The sequence below is a fragment of the Homo sapiens genome, chromosome 3 (assembly GCF_000001405.40).
Source record: "Homo sapiens chromosome 3, GRCh38.p14 Primary Assembly".
Classification (NCBI taxonomy): Eukaryota; Metazoa; Chordata; class Mammalia; order Primates; family Hominidae; genus Homo; species Homo sapiens.
The window spans coordinates 120,349,413-120,371,290 of NC_000003.12; the positions used below are offsets into that span (position 1 = coordinate 120,349,413).

A 21,878-nucleotide genomic window follows, 5' to 3' on the forward strand; every position below is an offset into this window, starting at 1 on the left:
GGTGCGCGCGCCGCTCCGGGGCGGGCTCTGCCTCACGAGGCGCGGGGCGCGGAGTGGCAAGAGCGCAGCATGGGCTGCGCAGAACTGAGGCAGACACCCAGAGGCTGCCAAATTGTCATCTGAGCCGGACCGGGTTTCGGCGGCCGCGCTTTATAGTCGCTGGAGCCTGGTGACCTATTCCAGGGCTACAAGACTGCCTCGGCAAACAGCCCAAGGATGTTCGGTTATCTCGCCTTGAGGGTTCGCGCGTCACGTGCCCCCCCCGTCCCCCGCTTGTTTTTCAGTTTAAAAGTGGGGCCCGTGTCTGCAGGACTCTGTGAGCACACAGTAATTTAGTGGTGATTTAGCTCCATGACAGAAAACCGCAGGAATTTAAAGTCCGAGGATTAACAAAGCCGACCTCGAAATGTGAACGCAGCTGGACTAGACCTCAGAACCCCCGGACCCTTACTGGAGGTTCCGCTGTTAAATAGCCTAGGGCAGGGATTTGATTTCAGTTGCCCCATGCATAAAATATGGGTAACACCCGCACTACTTGCCCCACAGAATTATTTTTTTCTTTTTTAAGGCAGAAATGTGTATCAAGTAAGGACGTTTTGCCCGTTTTAATTGTAGAAGCACATACGTGGCTTTTGGTGTAAGTTGTGTCTAGGAGTGAATTTGGGAGATATGGAGGCGGTTGCATGATTTGAGATAGCTCAAATTAATGAGTTAGTTTAAAAACTCAAAGCATAGAGTTTGTACTGCAGGTCAAAACTACAGTTTGGGAAAATCCTGATCTGGTACTAATTTAGTAATTCTAATTAACGTATTTTTCATCCTTGTCCCAAACTCAATCTTTTCTGAAATTACATTTTATGATTTTGAAAAGTAATGAATAGAAATGAGAAAAAATGCTTAGCTTTTTTTTTTTTTAACAAAGCTTATACATAAGAAAGTTAAGTGGTCGTGTATAATCAACGACATTAAATTGCTTTCCTCCTTAAAAAAGGAAAGTCGTTTTTTTCTTGCCAGTCATTTATTTGTATGAGAAACTATGCCTTTACTCTGCAGTCAAACTTTAATTTCTGATTGAGTGGTAGTCCTAGAAGGACGTACTTTGTATGTTTAAGCTAATGGTGGAATGCTTTTTAAAACTGATGAGTCATCTGTTTTGAAAGAGTCCTTTTAAGAACAGACCTTATTTTGGGTCAAGCCAGCATTCTAACAGTAGTCCTAATATCTGAAAATAACAAATATTTAAAATAATAGTTGTTTTTGCTTTAAAATATTTATCTTGGATTTTAAAAAGTGATAGGAACGTAATGTAAAATGAGAAAAAGAAAGGATTCAAACATAATTCAGAAATAAGAGTTGGCCAGGTGCCATGGCTCATGCCTGTAATCCCAGTGCTTTGGCCCAGGCCAGCAGATCGCTGAGGTCAGGAGTTCCAGACCAGCCTGGCCAACATGGGGAAACCCCGTCTCTACAAAAAATACAAAAATTAGCCGGGCCTAGTGGCGCTCGCCTGTGGTGCCAACTACTACACAGGCTGCTGGGAGGATTGTTTCAGCCTAAGAGGTAGAGGTTGCAGAGAGCCATGATTGTGCCACTGCCCTGCACTTTTTTTTTTTTTTGTCTCAAGAAAAATAAAATAAGAGGTAAGATTACAAATCAGTGGAATTAAAGGGAAAAAGATAACCTCAATAATAGCAAATGAGGCTTCCTAGTAGAAAGTTTGGAAAAAAATACTTAGTATGGGAACTCCACATTATATAGAATAAAGGAAAGGAAGTAGAAAAAAAGTGGTGTAGGTAAAGAAATGAGTAACCTGACAAATTTTGAAAACCTACTGCTTGCAACGCTGTACTAGGAGCTTTTAATTTAATAAAGTCTCCAACTATTTGGTTGTTGAATTTAGGATAAATGTAACCAGACCATTGAGCAGCTAAGATAACTGAGAAACTGCTTTCTAAAAGTTGAAAACTGTGTTTCTGCCTCATTGAAGCTATTGGCAAGGAAACTGTAAATTTCAGTGTAAAATGCACATCTCATGTCCAATTAGAGTAGGTTCCTACTTACATAGAATGACTATCTTTATTCATTTTTGGATTCTCCCTCACACCACCACCATCCCCCATTGCCTAGTATGATTTCTTGCAAATAATTTGGATTGACTGAGTTGGATATATCTCTTAGTTAGTGGACTTATTTTTTGAATAATTAGAGTAAATTGTAAAGTCCTTGAAAAGAACTGTCTTATTATTATATACCCATCCCCTAACAGTGCCTGCTCCACAGTAGGTACAGGTACTCTATATCTTTTGAAACACTGAATATATTTGTAAATATTAAGTTTTAGTTGAAAAGGAATTTTTATTTATCAAACACCTTTTATCACAAACCTTAAAAAATGTAATTCTACTTATCGCCACATTTATAAATAAGAATGTTTATCCGCATTTTAGAAATGAGGGAACTCAAGCTCAAAAATGATGAGTAAAGTCTGCTATCACAGAGAGTGAAAGGCTAATTAGAAATTCAGCCTTAGGGCTGTGTGGCTCCAAAGTCTATGTTCTTTCCACTACACTACACTGCTCTCTTGAGCTTAGTTTTTTTTGTTTTTTGTTTTAAATGATTCAAAGCAATAAGATCTTCCAAATAGTGTCAGTATTACAAGTGGCATCTATCCATTGATGGTACTTTGAAATATTGTGATTGTTGGAATTATACGGCACTTGTCTTAAGGATTGGGGGTTTTGTGGGCTTCATACACAAAACTGGAGCAGAGGCACCTGAACCAAACATAATTTGGGGTGCTGTCCTTGTATCATATGACGTCACTTTAGAACCTATGTTGATCGGAGCCATAGTGGACATCTGACCAAGGTAAGCCCATCAACAGACTGCCTGGTGGCCTGTCACTTATAAGGCACTGCCCAAACAGAAGCAGAGATTATTTTTTTTTCTCACTCGCCCAGGAATTTAATCCAAAGAACCCAGAGGGAAATTCCAGTTGGTGGCAGATCAGAAAGAAATTACAGTTGAATCAGAAAGAAGCAGACATGGGGAATGTCGCTAATTTTTTGTCAATTGTGAAACATAAGTGTGAAGATTCATAAAATATTGCTGCTGAAATCTAGGACTGCCTCATATCCAGAGTAACGCACCAGGTGCAGCTTCACTGAGGCCAACTTGTTAACAGCTGGATTAAATGTGAGCATCTTCTTACTGCCCAGTATAATAACCCTTCTCTATCTTAGCTAACGTGGATGTATCTCTTTTCACTGCAGCCAGATGGGTTTAAATGAAGCAGCATCCCCCAATCTTACAGTGGCCCTTGAAACCCTCCAGTCAGCCTGGAGAATACTGAAAACTTTCTGGGAGGTAAAAGAGCTGTGGTGGCTTGTGAACCCCCACAGTGATGGGGTTCATCTGTGGCTAGCTGAAAGAGATGCCTGAGAGGGGAGTGGAGGCACTGGAGAAGGTAAAGGACAGAGGAGACAACAGAATATGTTACATAGGGAAAGGAACATGGGTTACAGGGAACTGGGAAAGTACATGGCCTGTTTGTCCACTTATCAGAACTTCACCATTATGTCAGGCTTGGCCAATTGAATACATTTCAAGATAAGTCTCTTGACTGGAATAGTATTGGACATTTAGGAGACCAAATGAATTCTCCTCCTCCTTCAGCTACCCTTTCTAGGCTTCCTGAAGGCAGGAACTGCATCTGTTTACCATGGTATCCCCCAAGACATCGTAGGCAGCAAATAGTGAGTGAACGCAATAAATGCATGAATAGTTTTTGACATACCTTACTTAAATAGGCCCTATTGACCTACTGACTGCAGAAAAAACAAGAAATAATCTAAGTAGAGAATCCTTTCATAAACCATTCTAGTTAGGAGGCAGCATACTGATGCAGTTAAAAGAGTGGGCTTTGGTTTTTATCAGATACAGGTTTCAAAACCCACCTCTGGAAATCAGATTTCTCTTACTTAATCTTGATTTTGTTACTTAATTTCTGTAAGGCTTGATTTCATCATCTGTATTATAAAATATATTATCTGTTCCATAGGGTCATTGTAAGGTGAAAATCTAAAGTGCTTAGCATAGTACCTAGCACAAAGTCAATACTCTGTAAGTAGTGGCAATTATTATTATTAGCTGTAATAGTAGTTAATGTTATAACTATTGCTCTCTGCCACTTGTTATATCATGATCAGGGTAGAAAAACAAAGTTGAGAACAGTCTTTACTCATGATTGCACAATTTCCTACATAAACCATGGTCCTCTGCTCTGGGCCATTCTGTGTCTTAGGGATTAGGATTTGGGAGGTTGGTCTGACCTCTCTTGCCCAAGATTTATGCTTATTGTCTTTTTTGTCTTCAAGGTATATCAGGACCTCATGCCTGCTAAACCCACTCCTACCTTTATTTTAGCCACCTCTGATTCAGACTGTCCTTTCTAAAGCACTGCTTTCATGATTTCAACCCATCTCTTTTCCTCCTGCCTTTACCCCATGTTTCCTCATTGCTTATCAGATGAAGGCCAGTTGCTTAGGCTAGCATGCAAGGTTTTGATTTATTTCCACTGCTAAATCCCTCTCAGTCTGGTTTATCCATATTGGCCTAGGATGGTTTAAAGTTCTGCCATCTCCCTGCCAATTGTCCAAATCTCAAAAACCGGTTACTCTATGTTTAGGGCAGCATTGAAAGTAGAAGGAGCTATAGTCTTTCAATCGATCCTGAGGAGGAGTTGGCTTCTATATTTATAGGGACCAAGAGTAAGTCTTCAGCCAGTTTTGTGATATAAGGTCTAGCAGTTTGATTTTCAGCAGTTCTTCCTCTGCCACAGTTTGCTATTGCTGTAGAATTGATAGATTAAAATGTCTCCTGAAATATGTCTCCGGGCTTCTTTATCGAAGTTTAGTCCCTTTTATTTTGAAGATTCAAATAATGACATCTTTGGATATCTTTGGAGTCTTTGACTAAGCATTTGTTAGAGCTATAAAAGCATCTTCATGGCTACTCCCGTTGAATTCACTCCATTTAGGGGTTTATCTTAGACCCGGTGCGGTGTTTTCCTTATTGATTGTTTTGGGAGTTGAAGTGACTATCTTTTAAATTTTATCCACTTGCTCAGCTTATGTTGGTTCCATATTGGCTTGTTTGACCTTTTCATAGATAGCTAGTCATAACTACAACTATAAATGAGCTAAAATAATTTTAATCCCTAATTCATTCACAGATAGACATTGAGTACCTACTGTGTGTAAGAAACTGTACTATATATTGCAAGGTATAAAAACTAGTAAGAATAATAGGTAATGTTTATTGGTTATTTTATAAGTGCCAGGCACTGTCCTAGGGGCTCTGTCTAGGGATTATTTTTATTTAATCCTCACATCCCTTCTATAAGGTACATATTATTATCATCATTCTTCAGACAAGAAAACCGAGATGTGGGAAAATTAACTAACTTGCCAAGTCACATATTTATGGTGTGCTGGATAACAACATAGTAAAATGTTCATGATTTTGTTCAAATACAATCACTGCCTTCAAGAGATTTACTGTCTGGTAACAGAGATTAAACATGAACCTATAAAGAAATCCAAGTTAAAAAGGGCAAAAGATCTGAGTAGACATTTCTCCAAAAAAGATATAAAAATCACTGATAAACACATGAAAAGGTGATCAACATCATTAGCCATCAGGGAAATACAAATTAAAATCACAGTGAGCTACTACTCATACCCACTAAGATGGCTAAAATATAAAAGACAGCTAGTAAGTGATGGTGCAGATGTAGAGAAATTGGAACCCTTATAGACCAATACTGGGGATGAAAAAGTGGTGCAGCCACTTTGGAAAATAGTCTGGCTGTTCTTCAAAAGGTTAAAAAAAATAGTTACCATATGATCCAGCAGTTCTACTCCCAGGTATATACCCAACAGAAATGAAAACATACGTCGTCACAAAAACTTACACATGAGTGTTCATAACAGCATTTTTCATCATAGTCAAAAAATAGAATCAAACCAAATCTCTACCAACTGATGAAGGATAAATAAAATGTGGTATTTACATACAATAGAACATTATTCAGCAACAAAAAGAAATGAAGTGCTGATACATGTTACAACATGGATGAATCTTGGAAACATTATTCTGACACATAAGTGAAAGAAACCAGTCATAAAAGAACACCTACTGTATGATTCTATTTATATGAAATCCTCCAAAATAGGCAAATCTTTAGAGACAGAAAGTAGATTAGTGGTTGCCGAGAGCTAGAGGGAAGGGAGAATGGGCAGTGGTTGCTAATGAGTACAGGGTTTCTTTTTGGCAGGATGAAATTGTTCTAAAATTCATTGTGGTGATGGTTGTACAACTATGAATATACTACTAAAAAATCATTGAACTGTACACTTTAAGTAAGTAAATTGTATGATAGGAAAATATATGAAGTATATATCAATAAAGTTATTTTTAAAAACATGAACCCAAAGTAACTAAAATATAAAATAACATTTGGTAACTCATACAGAAACATAACCAAAAGCTATCAAAGTTCAGAGGAAAAAGACCATTTAGGCTACCACAGTTAGGATAGCTTTCAGAGGACAATGGGATTTGGATAGAGCTGGGATGAAATATACAAAATTGAAGGAAAAAAGAAAATATTTCTTACAAAGCATAGCAAAAAGGAGAAAATTATAGCATATATTTGGGAAATGGTAAGGGGTCTGGTTTGGTTGGCATGCTTAGTGCTGATGGTTAGAATAGACAAATATTGATATGCTTTAGATAATTATGGGAGAAAATATTTAAAATTTTAACTTTGCCCCCAAAAATCTAAGGTGTACTGTTAAGATACAGCACAGAGGAAGAGTAGTAGACTTTGAAATGATAGGTGTGTCTAGGCCTTGGAGAAAGAGGTATGAATACTAGGTAGGAGATCACCTCTGATTCTGCCCTCACTGGAAGCTCCAGATCCCATTTCCTTAACTTGTGTTCTTTATTAGCCTTGCAGTCTTTTCACGAAGACTGCAAGGCTTGGGAGAGTCTGTGGATTGTGGCACCTGTAGAAATAGTCTTATATCTGAGTACAAAGTATTCCTCATGGTTTCTCAATACTGTGCTAGCATCAAGATATTCCTCCTCTGCTTCAGGTGAAAGTCAAATGTAAGTCAAGCCTCAGCCCCCATAGTATGAATTCGAGAAGTGACACAAACTGGTCATAATTATTTCATTCCGTTATATTCCAGTTGTTTTCTTGAGAAAACCAAAACAAAACCAGGGCTAAACAACAAATCCAAAACAAAAATTCTTCAATACGTTGTGTTAATGGATATAGCTTTATTTTGAAACTGCATAGTTGTTTCCTTCACTCAGCCACTAAAAGTGATTTGAGAAACTGAGAGGACCTGGAGATGCAAAACCAGGAACTAACTGCTTCATTCATAGTCTGATGGGGTGAGGAACTTAGGGAGAAGCTGCCTCTGGCACCCATTCCCAGCAACAGGCCTCCTATTCTTGTCTTCTTCTTATTTACCCTGTTGTAATAAGTCTCTTTACCAAGGGAAGCGTTCCTTCAAACCCTTCTCTATCATTTACCTAGACTGTGCTGAGTGTCAGGACTAGGTCAACCCAGCTCAGACCCAGATGTAACCCATGTGCTGTGGGGTTGGAGAGAGAAGGGTTCCCTAATAAAGAATTGGCCACTGCTGAACTTGAGCCTCCAGGGTAATGGAAAAGGCTTCAAACAGGAGATACAAACCATGCTTATCCCTAAGAAGTAGAGAGTAAAGAACAAATCTCACTCTCTCCTTCCTGTACTGTCGCTCACTGTACCACATTATGTGTATAAAGTCAGTCTCTTCATTTCTTAATTTTTTCAGTTACAAAGTATTTATTTTAATGTAAATGTAAAAGGTCACTTTAGAAAATTCAGAGATATGAAAGGAAAACAACTGAAATCACACACACTCTCGCCATCCAGAAACAACTATGGTTTACATTTTGGCGTATTTCTTTCTTTTCCTATGTGTACATATTTCTTCCCACAAAGTTGAAATCATACATATATGTATATGTATATTAAGTTTTCTATTTTAATTTTTTTACCAAAAGTTGTATAGTGAGCATTATTCCCATGTTATTTAATTATTCTTCAAATATGTTACTTTGAAAAAATAGGTGCAGAATAATTCCCCAACATTGAAAAATTATGGAGTTCCTTTTGTTCCACTCTTCTCCCATAATACCTTGCAAACACTTTTTTTAGCTAACAAATACAGCCATTGAAATATTAAGTCTCATGGAGCTCTTTGCTGAGCTTTTATAGCAACAGTTTGGTAATAACAGTATCACCAAGCACTTTCCCTGGGGACATCAACAAGTGTCCCTTCAAAGACATGCTGACTCCACCTCACTTGCTTCTCACCTGGTGGATCAGAGGAACCAGCTGTAATACAAGTAAGCTCTTTTGATAAAGAGACAATTTATTGGGGAGAAATTGTTGACTGTGTTTGTAAACTGGAGAGTCAAATGACTGACAATGTAACTGAAGTGTTGAGGTATCTACATTCCCTTTACACTTTGTTGCCACCTAGAGCTGGTTCATTAGAGTTCTCATTGTTTTTCTACAAACCAGAGGTGAAAAGGGTACAATGCAAAATCTGTGTGCACTGCTAGAATTTTCTGTTTTGGGATAGTTTATACTTGTCTTTAGTAGTATATGATTTTTTTTTCTGTCTTTGTTGTTTTTCTTTTTTCTTGTTCCTGGTTTTTGTTTTGTTTGTTTTTTTTTCAGATGGAGTTTAACTCTTGTTGCCCAGGCTGGAGTGCAGTGGTGCAATCTGGGCTCACTGCAACCTCCACCTCCCAGGTTCAAGCAATTCTCCTGCCTCAGCCTCCCGAGTAGCTGGGATTACAGGAGCCCGCCACGATGCATGCCTGGCTAATTTTTTGTATTTTTAGTAGAGATGGGGTTTCACCTTGTTGGCCAGGCTGGTCTCAAACTCCTGACCTCAGGTGATCCATCCGCCTCGGCCTCCCAAAGTGCTGTGATTACAGGTGTGAGCCACCACACCCGGCCTCTTGTTCCTGTTATAAAGTGAAACTTTGTAAGAATCTTACACCAAATTCAATTCAATTCAGTTAATTCAACAAATACTTATTGGGTGCCTACAACTTGTAGAACACCATGATGGATATATGAAAGACAAAGAGGACCTAGCCATGCGCTTAGGGAACTTATAGTCTAGCAGGGCTGATTAGATAGGCATATAAATAACTGCAAGACAAAGTAGACCAGGCTATAAGAATATTTAATGAAGGAGAAATACTCACAAAATAGTGTCATGAGGAAAAAATTAAACTAGTCACTAAACTGTATATACAAATTGAGTTTTCTGAAAAAGTACACATGTAAAAAACTGGAATACTCTAAAATGGTAGTAGTGGCTGTCTGGGTGATGAATTAAAAGGGATTTTAATGTTCTTTATTCTTTTCTATTTTTTCAAAAAGTTATTTACAGTGAAACTGCTACTATTAGGATAAATAAAAGTAAGCTTTATTAAATGAGAGTGTCATGTAACAATAGAAAATGTAGTGCAAGTGCTGAGGAGCAAAGATCATAACTGACTGGGGTGGGGGAATTAGAAAGGCTTTAGGATTTATGTCTTTCAGAATGATGAAAAATTTTTTTTTTTTTTTTTTTTTTTTTAGACAGAGTCTCACTCTGTCACCAGGCTGGAGTGCAGTGGCACGATCTTGGCTTACTGCAACCTCTGCCTCCCTGATTCAAGCGATTCTCCTGCCTCAGCTTCCCAAGTAGCTGGGACTACAGGCGCACGCCACCACTCCCAGCTAATTTTTGTATTTTTAGTAGAGATGAGGTTTCACCATGTTGGCCAGGATGGTCTCAATCTCTTGACCTCGTGATCCACCTGCCTGAAACTCCCAAAGTGCTGGGATTACAGGCATAAGCCACCATGCATGGCTTGTTTTTTTGTTTGTTTGTTTGTTTGTTTGTTTGTTTTTGAGACAGAGTTTTGCTCTTATTGCCCAGGCGGGAGTGCAATGGCACGATCTTGGCTCACTGCAACCTCTACCTCCTGGGTTCAAGTGATTCTTCTGCCTCAGCCTCCTGAGTAGCTGGGATTACAGGCATGCACCACCACGCCCAGCTAATTTTTTGTATTTTTAGTAGAGACAGGGTTTCACCGTGTTGGCCAGGCTGGTCTCAAACCTCTGACCTCAGGTGATCCACCCACCTTGACCTCCTGAAGTGTTGGGATTACAGGCGTGAGTCACTGCGCCCGGCTGAAAAGCTTCTATATCTTAGAAATAGTAATAAAGTTTTACTGAATTGAAAAGACATTATATTTCTACAATTTTTTTTTCCCATGACATTTGACTATAGTCTCTGTCTCTATTAATGATAGGCTGGGCGTGGTGGTTCATGCCTATAACCCCAGCACTTTGGGAGGCTGAGGCGGGCAGATCACTTGAGCCAGGAGTTCAAGACCAGCTTGGGCAACATGGGGAAACCACATCTCTACTAAAAATTACAAAAATTAGCTGGGCGTGGTGGCATACACCTGTAATCCCAGCTACTGGGAAGGCCAAGGCAGAAGAATCTCTTGAACCCTGGAGATGGAGGTTGCAGTGAGCCGCAATTGCGTCATTGCACTCCAGCCTGGGCAACAGAGCAAGACTCTGTCTCAAAAAAAAAAAAAAAAAAAAAAGACCTATAGCTCTAGTAGCTGCTATCTGCCGTATTATCTTTTAAAATTTATATTATTTTAGATATGTCTTTAAAATATTTTACTACATGTACCATGAAGAGATATTTTCTAAATCAGAAGATGATGTCAATCACTAATCAGATTCATAGAGTATATAGACTTGGCAAAGAATCTTACTACTTGTCCCACTGAACGCAGAAATGCTTTATTTGGTCATTGGCTGGAATGGCTACTCGTTTGTCCTTCTTTTCTTCTGAAGATTTCTGTATCTGTTACGGTTCAACCCACAGAGCACATATTTTTCAGCGTCTAATAGGCTCTAGAAAGAGAGTTCCTATAATATTCTGAAAGTCAGCTGCTTCATCAGCCCATGAGCGTCCTGTTTTGGTAGATGCCCTGGGTGATGTGGCTTCCCATGGTGTGCGGGTGACATAGCAGAGGTTTGTCAGGTCAGAGTTTAGGTGGAATGTACAGGCTTCAGCTAACCTACAGAGTGAGAGTCTTGTCTCTGTGTAACCTGGATGAATTATTTATTTTCCTTCTGCCTTTGTTTCTCACTTATAAAATGAAGATAATAGTAGTACCTACTTTATAGGCTCATTTTATAGATTAGATTTGGCATTTGTAAACATTTGATGTAAAGTTGCTATTATTATGATGTATCATAGATAGACTCGATGGACTGTAGCAGATTTTTTAAAAATCTTAAATAGATAACAGGAAGAAGAGGAGAAACGAACATATGCTGAGAGAGTACGATTATGTTACCTTTGTTTTCTTGGAAATAGTGAGGGGCCAAAGAACAAGTAAAGAAATAATTGTCATGCAGTGTGATTCATGCAGCAATAAAAGTATGTTCAAAATAAAGAAGAAGGAATGATGAACTGCATATGGGTGCGGGAGGGCTTGAGAAGTGCTACTTGGGCAGAGTTGTTTTTTTGTTTTGTTTTGTTTTGTTTTGTTTTGAGACAGGGTCTCACTGTGTCACCCGTGCTGGAGTGCAGTGGCGCGATCTCGGCTTACTGCAACCTCTGCCTACCGGGTTCAAGCGATTTTCATGCTTCAGCCACCCGAGTAGCTGGGATTACAGGCATGCACCACCAGGGCCCAGCTAATTTTTTGTATTTTTATTAGAGACGGGGTTTTGCTATGTTGGCCAGGCTGATCTCAGATTCCTGGCCTCAAGTAATCTGCCTGCTTCAGCCTTCCAAAATGCTGGGATTACAGGCACGAGCCACGGAGCCCAGCCTTGGGCAGAGTTTTGAGTAAGTGAGTAGTTGGGGAGTGGATGAAGGCAGTGGTGATAAGGGATGTGCCAGGCACAGAGGATTTGGACAGCACCACAACTTTGGGATGGTAGGTGGGACGTAAAGTGCGGGGGAATAGTGAGAGATGAGGCCAGAGAGGGAGGCTGGATTCTGTGAGAATCAGTGGCTTTACCTATATGTAGATGTGCATTTGTGTCAGAGTTTCTTGAAAGGGCTGAGAGTTGCTAATTCCTTTCTTCTACCGCTTCCAAAGCTATCCTGAGCTTGTTAATGCCATTCCTATTAAACTATGGCCCTGGCTGGGCAGACTCATTTAGTACTGTCTCTTGGTTATTTTTCTCCATTTGGGAAGCATTGCACCATGACTTCGAAGATACACTTGTATATCTACTAGTTAAATGTCTTCCACTTTAGACTTGCACCAGCAACATCCAGAAAGGCCAGTGAACATGGCTTGGGAAGCATAGGAAACTGTCTTTTGTCCCTCATATATCTTCAGGGCTGACTTCAGATCCAAATGACTTCAACTGTGACTCAGTTAGAGAGGCAGATTTTCATATTATAGAAAGAGAGCTCCTGGTTCGTACAGCAAAACAAACAAACATGCACAAGATTAGGCTGTGTGAACTTGACTCAGTAGACATTCCCACATGGGGTACTGAGGTGCTGGAAGCCTGTCTACTAAAGGTGCACTGGTGGGCATGGAATCTAAAGGGGGTGTCTGTGAGGGCCATCCTGGGTCCCAGCAGCAGGTGGTTCCATGGTTATGCTGCCCCACACTTTCTTGGCTGAACCAAATTTTCTGCCTTTCATTTTGTTCCTTACAAAATGTCCTTCTTTTTGGTGACTGTTAACATACTTCTTCACAGTGCAGGTGAGTCATTTTTCAAAAAACTTTGTGGGCATTTATGAAATAGCTTTGGGGATAGTGAGGAAAACATTTGTTTGGAGATAAACGACATAATCTCTCTGAATCTCATTCTTTTCATTTGTTATATGAAAATAACAAATTTATTTTTTACAGGAAAAATTGTATTTATTTTAAAAATCTATATTTACTTCATAGGAAATGGTTAAGAGCAGATGGGAGAAAATAACAGACACATATTATAAATCATTATTGTTTATTCTGCTTTCTTTTTTTAAATGAGAAAAACTTCCACCCCACCCCCCCCAATTTGGTTTGTCCATTTGAAGCCATATCTGAATGACTAATCTCAGTCGTATCTATAGTGTGAACCTCCCAACCAAACCAAACAAAACAATACTAGACACCCACTTTCAAGTGACTCTGACAAGTGCCAATTTATAGTGTAGCATCCAAAATATTTGAAATCAGGTCTGTCCTGAAAAATCTGGATGGGCAGTCAACAAAGGGTTTATGTAAGTCTTTTTGTACTCAAATCTTCAACTCTCTTGGTGACAAACAATATACAGATGTTGGAAATGTTAATATGATTCAGCTAACCAAAAGTCCATAAGCAAAAGTTTTTTAAAAAAACACTGTGTATCCCAAATCTGGCTGTATAACTACTCCATAAAGTGATCAAACACATTTATAGTCTTCAGGCTTATGCCATCTTCCAGAGACCTGCAGCAGTTCTGTCAGTCCCTTAAAGGTGGCAGCAGCTTGAAGGCATCCTCAGGCTCCAGAGTTCAACTCAGGAGTTAGTACAAGGCCTGGTCAACCCAGGTTACATTTGCTGGCTCTTTTCTCTTGATGTTTGATTATTCTGTGTGTGTGTGTGTGTGTGTGTGTGTGTGTGTGTGGTGGGGAGGAGGGCGGGGGGGCTGGGTGTTGGGGGGTGTGTGTGTGTGTGCGGGTAGAGGAGAGCAGTAAGAAAAGTAAGGTGGTAATCCACTCATAGTTAGGAAAAACTCAACCAAATAAAGGAATAGGTATGTATGTAGGCAAGAAAGAGAATGATCTGTTGATTCTAATCTCACATTTTGTAGCAATATTAAGAACTTAATACTATGTGCTAGGTACCATGGCAGATGCGTTAGACAGTATCTTTCTACATTTTTCTAAGTGTTTTCCCACATTATTAACCTTTTTCTGAGCTTTTGCCTCGGCCTCTTAAGGCTTGGGAAGCTAAAGACACATGGTTTAGAAATAACACAGATTGAAATAGACAAAGGAGTTACTCAGATTCAAGCAGGGCCATCTGCAGACATATCAGTTAGAAATTGTCCTTTATACTAGTTACATCAGCAGGAAGTTGTGTTTCATGATGCATTGGCTAGAGCCTTTGGATCCCTGAGTTTGAGACCCCTTCCCTTGGGCCAGAAAGGGTACAACTGTAGCAAGAACTCCTGAGTACAACTGGAGAAGGTAGAATCAAGGACCACTCATGGGTAAACTACATATTCTTGTGAGAGACATTGGGGTGGGGGAACAGCTTACTAAAGTGTCCACTCATCTACTTTACTCCTGTCCTTCTGGAAAATGACCGAGCCATGTCATATAAAAACAGTCTGTAAGATCCCATGGTATTTCATTAAAACCTCGGACAGGTGTTATAATTCTAATTATACACAAGGAAGCTATAACTCAGAGAGATTAAGTGCCTTTCCTGATGCCAAATGATTAGTAAGGGGGTACTTAGAACTAGAACTTGGATTTACAATTCGTCAGACCAGGATTTTACAAAAATAAAGTCCCACAAAAATTATAAAACACTGCTTTTTGGTGATAACCACTTCAGAAAAATAATTTGAGCAAGAAAGCACTTCAGGTTTTTACTTGCAAATCAATCCTTCTAAAGGTTATGCAAGTTATTTCTCTTTGCCTCCTTTCCAGCCTGTCTTGTAGTCATTAATTCATTTAATTAGTCACTGATTCATTCATCAAACTTCGAACCAGTGCCTACTATTAGGAGACAAAAGAGCACATTTCAGTTGGAGAGCTTTGGAGTCAGACTGCCTAGCATTGAATGACAGCTCTACTGCTCACTAGCTGTGTATCCTTGAGTAACTTACTTCACCCACTGTGCCTTGGTTTTCTCAGTAGTAAATTGGGGATAATTACCTGCCTCAGTGTTAGTATCAGATTAAATGAATTAATGCCAGAAAAGCTCCTAGAATATGTTTAGAACATTGTAAATACTTGATAAATGTTACCAGATATGGTCAGAGTTCTCCAGAGAAACAGAACAAACTGGAAAAGAGAGAGAGAGGGGGTTGGCGGGGGGGTAGAGAGAGAGGGAGAGAGAGCCTGATTTTTTTTTTGAAGAAATTGGGTCATGCAGCTGTGCTTGTGGAGGTTGAGAAGTCCCAAGATCTGCAGTCAGCGAGCTGGAGGTGCAGAACAGTCTATGGTATAGTTCTAGTCTGAGTCTGAAGGCAGGAAAAGACTGCTCAAGCAGTAAAAGCAGGAGTTCCCTCTTACTTGAAGGAAGGTTGGCTTTTTTGTTCTATTTAGAACTTCAACTGATTAGATGAGGGCACCTACATTAGGGAAGACAATCTGTTTTACTCAGTCTGTCCACTCAAATGTTAATCTTATCCAGAAACACCCTCATAGACACATTCAGAATAATGTCTGACCAAATATCTGGGCACCCCCATCAACAGCCACGTGATTATCACTACTGGAATGAGCAGATTGTATCTGTCATTCATCTGGAATGTTCTCTATTACATGTCTCTTAGGCTGTTCTTTGCTTGGCTGATGGCTTGGAAGCTTCCTTGTCTACTAAGTTACCATTTGAATTTGGTCTTGGTGCATAACCTATTTTGCCTTCTATTTCATCTCACCTTATTTGATATAATGAGGTGAGATGAAATATCAAATAGTAGTCTTATTTAGGCTCACACTGACCAACTCTTCTGCCTTTCCACTGCTTGTTTGTTACCTGCATAGTGTCTCTAGAAGGAAAAAAAATGCCTTCCTACTGGAGTCCATATTTTCATAATGTTTAAGTCTCATTATTCTCTCTTACTCAAGCTGAGAATTTAATTAGTCTTTTATGTTCGAAAGTTTGGTAACCATGACCCTAATGGTTCTTTTTAAATTCTGAGAGGTCTCGTTTCTTTTTGCAGTGGTACTAGTATCTTACTTTGTGATCTTAAGCAATTGTGCTTCCTGGGAATCAGTTTTGTCTTTTAGTAGCAGAGACATTTTACAGAAGAATTCAATTTGGAAGCCTAATTTATAAAGTAAATTAGGGAGGGATTGTTCTGATTGAAGTGTTAAGGGAGTGGAGATCTCACTGACTTGCTCTTCACCTGGTCATCAGTGGCAACCTATGAGGTGGGCTTTGGGGAAAATAGTTCAAAAACATTGAATCAGAGGATCTGTAAGCTTTCTTGCAAATATAACACATCAGCATTCTATTCCATGTCATTATTCTATGAATATACATAGTGCATGGCTATATTCCCTATAGCCCTCAGGTCCTGCTATGGATAGCTCTGCCCAGATTGGTAGATATTTGTGGCAGGTAGAATAGACTTACTTACTGAACATCTTTTCCCGCCTTTCTGATGTGCATTCCTGGATTGCTGAAACTGGAGAGTAAAACATATTTCCAAGATTCCTTTGCAGTTAGGGTTCTGGGAATGACTTAGAGTCTGCCAATCAGATATATTTTCTCAAGAATTAAATGGCAACTGATTGAAGTGGGGAGAAAGGTTATAGTGCATGACGCATTCTTTCATTGGCCAGTGCAATCTAGCAGGTGCAGATTGGCTATGGAAGCAACACCCGTGGTGATGACTTCCTGCATCACCAGCTTCTTGATAAGGCAGAGGCAACTGTTCTTCCAGAAGACCAGTACTGCAGTGTTGTTGAGCCTAGCATAATGTGGGGGAGGACAGACACAGATATTACACATCTCACCTTCCATGCCCTTCTTTGGGCTCATTTCTTCAGCCTCCCAATGATTTTGTAAGTGTCTAGTTCTCTGTACTAAATCCCTTATGCATGAAATAGCTAGAGTGATTTCTTTTATCGCTTATTAAATCTTACCTGATGCAGTGCTGATTGGTCTTTATTAACTTCATTTCTTCTTTGACATTCTCGGTGTCTACAGAGGAGCTGCGGGCCCACCCATTCACTGATGTTACCCTCTCCTGTCATTTCTCCTTTGTGAAGGGCACTGAAAATCTTGAGTTTTCTTGGGAAAGAGAAGACATCAAACAGGCATATGAGGTAGAGGATAATAAAGAATATTACCTCCTTTTCAAGTACCTTGATTTTTTTGAAGTTTTCTCGAAGTTGGTTTACCAGTTTCACAATAACACAGAGCAACTAGAAGATCAAAATTCCTTGTATGAGGGAAGAGTATCTGTGGACCAGGCTGAAATTTCTGAGGGGACTCTATCACTTTTACTAAGAAATGTGGATTTCATGGATGAAGCTATCTACAAGTGCTCAGCCATCACACCAGATGGAAGAGGTGAAAGTACAATTAAGCTAATAGTAGAAGGTAAGGGAATTTATTGAATGAACTTGATTTCAAGCTCTGTCTCTATTCATAAGTTATAACAGTGACAACTTATCTAGTTCTCTCACTTTTCCCCTTTTACTCAAATTATTATCAGTTCTTCTTATTCCCAACACGTCAATTCGTCTTAGCTAAAAATATTGCCCTGAGCGAAAGATGCTGTATCTATACCTGTATACATTATTCATTCACACAGACAAACAAAACATTAACAACAACAACAACAACAAGCACTGGTCTATCAAAAACTCTCCAAACAAGTTGTAACACTGAAAAATCAAAATATGATATAACAGTCTTACATGAAAACGCTGAGATATGACATATGGTTTAGTGAGAAGAGCCCCGCATTGGGAGTCAGGAGGCCCATATTCTAATTTTGGATGACTTTGGGTAACTCATTTAGCTTTTCTAGGCTTCACTTTTCTCACTATTAAAATGTAGGTTGGACTGGATCAGTGGATCTCCGTAGTGATCCAGGGATCCTTACCCTTCACAGGATTGCATGAAGAGCTTTTCCCCCATCAGAGACTTTCAGGGATTGGGGAAGGCATGGCAGAATTCCTCCAGGATAAGAGTTGGAAGACATGAGAAGGTGGTGGTTGTGAGAATAATTCGTTATCTTCTGTGGTTCTCAGCAGGGTATGTGGAGTTCAGTGGTGAATCTGGAATGAATCCACTCAAAGAGGGGAAGATTCCAAAAGATAAAGGCAGCAGTGATAGATGAGAACTGAAAGGCAGGAGCATACATGTATCCTGTTCTTCTCTTACTATGCTTGGATCAAAATTTTAACTACAGTGAATCTCAAGATATATTGCCTACATAACGGGTTAATGTAAAAAGCGAGAGCATGTATTCTGCTAGCCTGAGCCTCTTGGGGCTGAAATAAAAAAGGAACTAATTGTTTTGTTATTTTTTCCAATCAGACTCTGAAATGCCCCAGGTGCAATTTGACAGGATTGATGATGAGGATGTGGCCACATGCATCTCAAAGGACTAGTACCTCACGCCCATTGTGACATGGCTGGACCGGACAGAGAGGGACCTGAGCAACCACAGCATCGTGGAAATCCTGGAGGAGCAGATGAATGGCTTCTACAGGGTGTTCTCCATCCTGAAATACCCTGTCAAGTTAAATGAGAAATATCTCTGCCACATAACAGAGACAGATGTGAACAACCAGCTCTTCAGAATCATCCACAAGTATCCAAGTAAGTGCAAATCCGAAAGGAACAGTGAAAGTGGGGTGCATTTCACCACAGAAAAGTCATCATTCATTAATATTTACTGAATGTCAAATATATCAGGCATGCCTTCGCACTTTGGGGATTTAAAGAAGCATCAGGAACATACGCTTGGAGCCTTGGGCAAGATAAGGTGGTGAAGTGGAGTCTCTCTGGGCTTGAAAAAAGAACATGCTTCAGAGACTGACAGCTTTCTCCTGATAGATGTGGCTCTTACTATTGATGAGGTTTCTTTTCCTCTGCACAGAACATCAGCTTTATGACGTGGCAGGCTGAGTAGTCATAGTGGCCATTTATTAGCCTCTCACCATGTGCCTGGCACTTTACATATGTCACTTTAATCTTTACCTCTATTTTAATTGTTATTACTGCCCCTCTTCTATATGAGAAAACCAACAAGTTAAATAATTTGACTAAGGACATAGCTAACAAGCACAAGACTCAGGATTCAAACCCATTCTTTCTGAATCTAAAGTTCATGCACTTCATTTTTCTTATGCATATACCACACTGCACTTACAGATCTAAGACTATAGACTGCATGAATAGATCTAAGTCATATATGTTTGGAGAAGGGGATTCCCTGTGTAATAAGCAAGGAGGCAAGAAATAGAGTCACTGCTCCCACTCAAATTCTGAGCAGTCTTTAAGTTGCCGTATCAAAGGCTGTCTACATTCTGGGGAATCTTAATTGAGTCCTCCAGAGAAATTTTGATGGATACTTTTTTGTGTAGCTGTTCTATTACTTCTAAACTGTCTAAACTTTTTCAAGTTAGGAATTTGAAAAAAAAAAGCATGTTAGAAAAAGAACAGGTATTTACTGAACACATACCATATGCTAGGGTGGACCCAGGTACTTTTGCATAAGGTATTTAACCCCACAATGACCTCTGAGTTAGATACTAACATTACAGTATTTAGCAGAGGAGGAAACCAAGGCTGAGAGAAGGTTAAGTATTTACCAAAGGCTACACAGCTGACAGTCTTACAACCCAGGACTTGAACTTGGGTCTAATTATTAACAAAGGCCTGGGCACATTCCACTATGTGGTTGACTCGTGGGCCTTAAGTTCCTTGTGTCAAAGTATCTGTAGCCTCAGGCTGAGGTCATTGATTTATTCTGCCACCTGTGACCTCACCTGCCTCTCCATCAAGAAGGAAGGGATGGTGATGAATACACTTGCACGGTGAGCTAATTCCTTCTACTTTCCTGTATCCCTGACTTAGAGATCTTATTAAGACTTCTTTGGAGGGTTAGCTCTGGCAGGGACTTTGGCCATCATCTACCAATCACAGCATATAGGGGTGACTAAACAGAAGTCCAGAGAGGTGAGATAATTGTCCAAGGTAATACACACTCTATACAAGAAGTATTAATGGAGTCTGACTTCATGCAAAGGTTGGGCAGTTACCTTTCAGGTCTAGTCTGTAGGGGCCTGGCAATTAATCAAAGCATTCAAAACACTATTGCAATCCTGGATCTCCCAGTAACTAGCCGTAAATATTTACAACCGTTAAGAGTATTTATTTAAATTTTTAATGACTTGGGAAAATACCCGCACTATCATGTTAAAATTTTAAAAAGCAAAATAGTAGCTTGTATGTGTAGCATGAGCCCCAGTTGTTTAACTATATGGAGATTTAAAAGATAGGATGTATTATTATTATTATTATCATAATATGAACAGTAATTACTGGTAACCTCTGAATGATAGGATTGTAGGCATTTTTTGTTTTCTCTTTTGTACTTGTGTTTTATGCAACATTCTATAATGAACATATATTATTTTTAGTCCAAAAAAGCTATATTTTTTAAATCTTTAAAAAATATCTTTATGAAAAATGGTTTACATGCCATAAAATTCACCCATTTGAAGTGTACAATTTAATTGTTTTAGTATATTCACAAAATTGTGAAATCGTCACCACTCTTATCATTTAGAACATTTTAATTACCCTAAAAATAAACCTCATGCTCATTCACAGTCACTCTCCATTCCCTTCACCATATCCCCCAGTCCTAGGCAACCACTAACCTACTTTCTAGCTATATAGATTTGCCTATTTTAGATCTTTCATATAACTGAAATTATACAATATGTGGTCTTTTTAAACTGGCTTCTTTTACTTGGCATAATGTTTTAAAGGTTCATCCATGTTGTAGCATATGTTAGCACTTCATTTCTTTTTATTTCTGGATAATAGTTTATTCCATTATATGGATATTACCACATTTTATTTATCCATTCATCAGTTGATGAAGATTTGGGTTGATTTCACTTTTTGTCTCTGATGAATGATGTTGCTGTGAACATTCACATATATGTTTTTATGTGGAAATTTATGTTAAATTTCATTTATCTTGGGTATATACCTATGAGTGGAATTGCTGGGTCATATGGTAACTATTTTTTAACCCTTTGAGGAACTGCCAGACTATTTTCCAAAGCAGCTGCACAATTTTACATTCCTACCAGCAATGTATGAGGTTACTGATTTGTCAACATCCTTGCCAGCACTCATGATCTTTTTTATTCTAGTCATTCTAGTAGATGTGAGTGACATTTGTGGTTTTGATTTGCATCTCTCTGGTGGCTAATCTTGGGCATCTTTCAATATGCTTACTGGTTATTTGTACATCTTCTTTGGAGAAATGTCTATTCAAATTCTTTCTCCATTAAAAATGGGTTATTTATCTTTTTATTATTGAGTTGTAAGAGTTGATATATTTTGAATACCAATTCCTTATCAAATATTTGACTTGCAGAAATTTTCTCCCCTTCTGAGTTGTCTTTTCACTTCTTGATGATGTCATTTGAAGCAGTAAATTTTCTGATTTTGATGAAGTACAATTTATCTTTTTTTTTGTCACTTGTGCTTTTGGTGTTATATCTAAAAAATTATTGCCTAATCTAAGTCACAAAGATTTACTCATATGTTTTCTTCTAAGAGTTTTATAATGTTAGCTCCTACCTCCAGGCTTATGATTCCTTTAAATTAATTTTTGTTTTTGGCATGAGATAGGTGTCCAACATCCCAGGACCATTTATTCAAAAGGCTATTCTTTCCCCCATGGAATTGTCTTGATGGCCTTATTGAAAATCAAGTTACTATAAATGTAAAGGTTTATTTCTGGGCTTTCAATTATATTCCATTGATCTATGTGTCTGTA

At 39.0% G+C, this 21,878-nt stretch overlaps 1 long non-coding RNA gene and 1 pseudogene across 5 annotated transcripts in view, besides 1 other annotated feature; one reads left to right on the forward strand and one right to left on the reverse strand.

Annotated features, from left to right (window-relative positions):
- BTNL12P (butyrophilin like 12, pseudogene) overlaps window positions 2-21,878 on the forward strand; it is a 73,965-nt pseudogene continuing 52,088 nt past the window's right edge. For 2 of the 3 annotated variants that reach the window (NR_187255.1, NR_187254.1), the window contains exons 1-3: window positions 2-316; window positions 17,048-17,443; window positions 18,389-18,673. The product of NR_187255.1 is annotated as a butyrophilin like 12, pseudogene, transcript variant 2 (transcript). Of the gene's footprint in view, window positions 317-17,047; window positions 17,444-18,388; window positions 20,637-21,878 lie in introns of those variants that run through there. The other variant, NR_187256.1, reaches the window with a different exon arrangement.
- On the reverse strand, window positions 13,119-18,853 carry LOC124906274 (uncharacterized). 2 transcript variants are annotated; one of them, XR_007096033.1, is made up of 4 exons: window positions 18,816-18,853; window positions 18,466-18,586; window positions 16,984-17,131; window positions 13,119-16,808 (listed from the first exon to the last, which is right to left on the reverse strand). It is a non-coding gene; the product is annotated as an uncharacterized LOC124906274 (long non-coding RNA). The 2 variants fall into 2 exon arrangements; XR_007096032.1 differs by lacking the exons at window positions 18,466-18,586; window positions 18,816-18,853 and adding an exon at window positions 17,952-18,192.
- Window positions 17,453-18,652: an enhancer, noted in NCBI's record as "CDK7 strongly-dependent group 2 enhancer chr3:120085712-120086911 (GRCh37/hg19 assembly coordinates)". NCBI's record gives its function as "activates an origin of replication core promoter dependent on BRD2, BRD4, P300/CBP, MED14 and CDK7 cofactors, with strong dependence on CDK7, by STARR-seq in HCT116 cells {active_cell/tissue: HCT116}" and the evidence as "EXISTENCE:reporter gene assay evidence [ECO:0000049][PMID:35650434]".